This window comes from Homo sapiens, chromosome X (genome assembly GCF_000001405.40).
Source record: "Homo sapiens chromosome X, GRCh38.p14 Primary Assembly".
In the NCBI taxonomy this organism is placed as follows: domain Eukaryota; kingdom Metazoa; phylum Chordata; class Mammalia; order Primates; family Hominidae; genus Homo; species Homo sapiens.
This window is the reverse complement of record NC_000023.11, coordinates 127,111,935-127,117,116: the sequence shown is the minus strand read 5'-3', so window position 1 is coordinate 127,117,116 and position 5,182 is coordinate 127,111,935.

Here is a 5,182-nt window from a genome sequence, read left to right as displayed (position 1 = left end):
CAACCCAAATGTCCAACAATGATAGACTGGATTAAGAAAAAGTGGCACATATACACCATGGTATACTATGCAGCCATAAAAAATGATGAGTTCATGTCCTTTGTAGGGACATGGATGAAATTGGAAACCATCATTCTCAGTAAACTATCGCAAGAACAAAAAACCAAATACTGCATATTCTCACTCATAGGTGGGAATTGAACAATGAGATCACATGGTCACAGGAAGGGGAATATCACACTCTGGGGACTGTTGTGGGGTGGGGGGAGGGGGGAGGGGTAGCATTGGGAGATATACCTAATGCTAGATGACGAGTTAGTGGGTGCAGCGCACCAGCATGGCACATGTATACATATGTAACTAACCTGCACAATGTGCACATGTACCCTAAAACTTAAAGTATAATAAAAAAAAAAAAAAAGAAATAATACAGGAAGGTCTCGTGTTTGTTTAATCAGTTTCTCCCAATGGCAACACCTTCATTACTATATCACAACTAGGATATTGACATTGAAATAGTCAAGATCCAGAACAATTCCATTGTCACAAGGGTCCCGTGAGTGTCATTATTATAGCTACACCCACTTTTCTGCAACTCATCTTGCCCCAACACCCAGAAACCTCTAATCTGTTCTCCATTTCTATAATCTTATCATTTCCAATCACTTTAAACAATTATCTATATTGAATTCTCCCTCCTATCTTTCAACACTTTTTTGTGCTTAATTTTTACTCAGAAAATTTTTGACTCTGGCTTTAATATATCTTCATCTCTTTCGTAAGTTAATAAATGTCCAGGAAATGACCTAAACCCAGTTTAGGTAGAATTACCAGAAGTTTAGAAGTCATTCATCCAACTACTATTTATTGAGTATCATATGCAGGATACTGTTCTATGCATAAGGAAACTTGATGAATAAGATGGACAAGGTCCCAGTCCACATATAACTTGTATTCTAATGGGGAGAAACACACAATGAACAAATTTTTTAAAAAGATAAAATACACAAGTTTTAAACCCATTCCTGTACATTTTTCTCATTTATCTACATATACTCAAGAGGAAACCATTATGCTAGATTGTACACTCCATGAAAGCAGACACTTTGTTTCTCTTGTTTACTTTTTTATCCCCAGCACTCAGTACGATGCTGAGCACATAGTAGATGGTTATTTATTCAAGCAATATTTATGGAGCTTATAATGTGGCCCCAGGCACAGTTGTAGGCATTGAGATTATAGCAAGAACCAGACAAAACTCTGTGTTCTCACACAGTTTATGTAAATACTAAAGCTAGCTGGCAGAAAATAAGTTTTTAATAACCTGACACTATCACCATTGCTATTATCATTGCTTTCACTATTATTAAAATTACTGCAACTGATTCATAAATATAAATGTTGTATAACTTTCTGAAAACATAAGAACAAATATGCAAGAAAATCCAGTGTAAAATTACACAAAGGTTAATGTTAATATTATATACCCTTTCCTCCTAAACCACAAAAGATGTTTCAACTTTCCTCTCGGTGAGCAGTGTTCTAGATATCCTTTCCACAACTGATACATCTAGCTAACTTTCACCTGGATATTTATTCTGAATGCATCATAGAAGTTCAGGTAGTCATTCAAAAGCAGGAAAATGCTATTACTAATAATATCAAATAGCTAGTTTTGTGGAAAACAAAACAAAAACAACTTTGGCTTATGGTGCATCATTGTTTCCAGTAAATTATACATTCTATTTGTTTTTGGTAGATAATTTTTTTTTTGTATATCAAAATATCTCCTTAGTTGACATGTGGACAAGACTGTTCAGGATTGGGCTGAGTACAAAGAGCACTTGCCAAGAATATCTGATTGAATACAGAGAATAGCAAGTTGTCACCCATTATCAACATGCATAAAGGGAACTCCATAGGTGATTTGGGGTTGCTTGCTCCTGTTTTGATGAAATGAAAATGCTTTCATCTAATATACCTCCAGCTCCAGGAATGATGTGTAATATTATTTTGTACATATGACTACTCTTATTTGAGGCTTTTCTCTCTTGACCTTGCTTATCTTCTCCTGTCTGTTTGGGCATTGGTGGTTTGCAGAAAGCATTCGTTGATAATTTTCCTCCCTTTTTAACTTATTTTTCTTTGGTGGGAAGAGTAAGATTTGAGGATCAAATCTCAGAGGAAGTTTAGGATTTCTTTTTTTCTTTTTTGACTAAACGGCTCTTCAAAGCAGAACCCAGGCTGATGGGATGACATTTCTTACTTCAAATTTCTTGTGGTTTATTCAATATAGATGTAAATTTAACATTATCTGGCCTTTAAAGGAAGAACACACCAGAGAAGATAAAACCAAACCAAAAATAGCTGTGAGAAACAAACATGTGGAAACATCTGATACTAGTAGCATGCTTTTCTTTTCCGTCACCATTACCACTATTCTAATCTTGGCACATGCAATCTAATACCTAAGACCATCTCTTAGAAAACCCCTTAGTGGAATTGCCACTGCCTCTCAAGAGCCTCCTCCCTCCCCACTCTATCTTCACTTCAATTCATCTTATACAATTGGCCTAAAATTAGTTTCCTAAAACACTTTCACCACTTCCATCATGTTACTGTAAATCTAAATCAAAATCAAATCTAAATCATGTTACTATAAAAATCTAAAAGCAAAAAAATCGCCACCTCGGCTATTCAGAATTATGAGTCTGGGTTAGAGTACTGGATTATTTATTTTTGAAGCTCCTAGGTCATTCTGAAGTGCAGGCAAGACTGAGGAATTGCTGGACTTCAACTCAAAGCCCGAAGCCATTAACTTTACATCCAAGCTCAATTTAATCTAGCCTTAAAGCTATTACATTTACCTGAAAATATATATTTAAACTAAATAAACTTCATTAATTTTTGTATTTTCTAATTGATTCAAGTGTGAACTAGATTTTTCTATCACTTATTCAAAACAAATGAATTTTAAATGCAGATCTAACTTTCACACAGAGAGAATATGAAATGCTCAACTTTCAGTTTTCCAGCTACATAATTTTAAAAGGCAGCTGCTTTTCTCATTTCTTTGAGTGCTAGAAGGCCTCTGGCTATAGCCCTATATATAACATAAAAGAATAGAAGCAATGCAATAAATGCTATTGTTGCAAGTAAAACCTTCATTATTGGGCTACTTTAAGACATAATATCTGCTAAAATCTGCATCTACTTTGAGTATGTGTAATTGTTTATTCCAAATACAGGAAAATAAGGCTTATTATGAAAGCTTAATTGCATTAAACACAAATATAGGTAACTCGTTTTGTTGCATGAGTAGTCTTAAGGAAGACACAAGCTGTTGAGTGGAGTAAGTTATTCAAAATATTGATGACTTGGAGAGAGCAAACTATCTTATTTTATTCAAAGTTGTGCTAATTAATAAACTTCCTGAGTAGTAAAGGCTGATGATATCAGAAGGTTTTGATGTTTAACAAACCAGTACTGTTTGTTTGTTCTCTTTGAAATCCCAGGCCTTTACTGAGGACTGAATTATCAGTGGTTTATATTTTTAAAATTTCGTATCACTTTAACAGACATGATTTCCTAGTAGCTCATCCACACTCACATAAAGTGTCATGCATGTTTATACTAAATATTGAAGCTAAGCAACTGTATAATTGGGAATTTTTCTGAATATGTAATGTGTACCTCTGATCCTCAACAGTAAAATGGACACAGGATTGGTTATTTGTTGCTATGTAAAAGTTACCCCAAAGCATAATAGTATAAAACAATCAGCATTTATCATATCACACATTTTATGGGTTAGGAATTTGGGAGCAGCTTAGCTGTGTGATTTTGGCTCAAGATTCCTCATGAAAAGCTGACCAACTCTCCTGGTGTTCCTGGGACTGAAGGAGTTACAGCAATGTGGGCTTTCAATTTTAAAATTGGGATATTCCTTGCTAAACTGGAAAAAGTTGGTCATGCACACTGGATGCCTGGAATGCAGGAGTTTCAGTGCTAAAACACAAGAAAGTCCTGAGCAAATTGAGGCAAGCTGTTCACTTTACTCTTGAGATAGAAGTCAAGATAAAGGTTGAGGCTACAGTCGTCTGCAGGCTTGACTGGGCCTGCAGGATCCGTTTTCATACACAATCACATAGTAATTGGCAAGAGTCCTCAGTACTTTATCACCTGGGCTTCTCCTAAGGGAAACTTGACTGTCCTCATGCCATGACAGTTAACTTATCTCAGAATGAATGTTCAAAGAGAGAAATAACAAAGGAGAAGTCAAATTTTTTTTTTTAACCTAACCTCAGATGTGTCATTTCTGTCTTACTTTATTCATTATTAGTGAATCACTAAATCTAGATTACGCACCAGGGGAGAAGAATTGAATTCCATCTCTTATAGAAAAAAATATCAAAGAATTTGTGGACATATTTTAAAACTGCCACAGTAATGATGGTGCCTAATTATAGTTTGTTGTCAGTAGTAAATGAATTAATAAATGTAAAGACTTTAGAACTGTATTAGGTACAAGTACAAAACAGTTTACTAGTGTGATAATTTTCTGCCTTCCCTCAAATAAAAAAATAAGCTTTGTCTAACTCATGAAAACCGTCCTGATTTTTTTAAATAAATCAATTACTCAGAAATTTGGCTTTAAAAATTTATTAGAAGCTAGAGTTAATGAACAAGAGTTAAAATGCAAATTCAAATTATATATAAAGCTAACTGAAAAAAATGTTATTTATAAGAAATTTTGATGGCCATTTATATTTCTTTTTTTGTTTGGTTTTTAGTTTGGTTTTTTTCTTCAACTTTTTGAAATTCTGGGGTACACGTGCAGGATGTGCAGGTTTGTTATATAAGTAATGGTGTGCCATGGTGGTTTGCTGCACAGATCAACCTATCACTCAGGCATTAAGCCCAGCATCCATTAGCTATTCTTCCTGATGGTCTTCCTTCCCCAGCCCCAGTGAACAGGCTCCAGTGTGTGCTGTTCCCTGCCATGTGTCCATATGTTCTTATTGTTGAGCTCCAACTTATAAGTGAGAACATGTGGTGTTTGACTTTCTGTTCCTGCATTAGTTTGCTGAGGATAATGGCTTCCAGCTCTATACATGTCCCTGCAAAGGACATGATCTTGTTCCTTTTTATGCCTGCATAATATTCCATGGTGTATATGTAC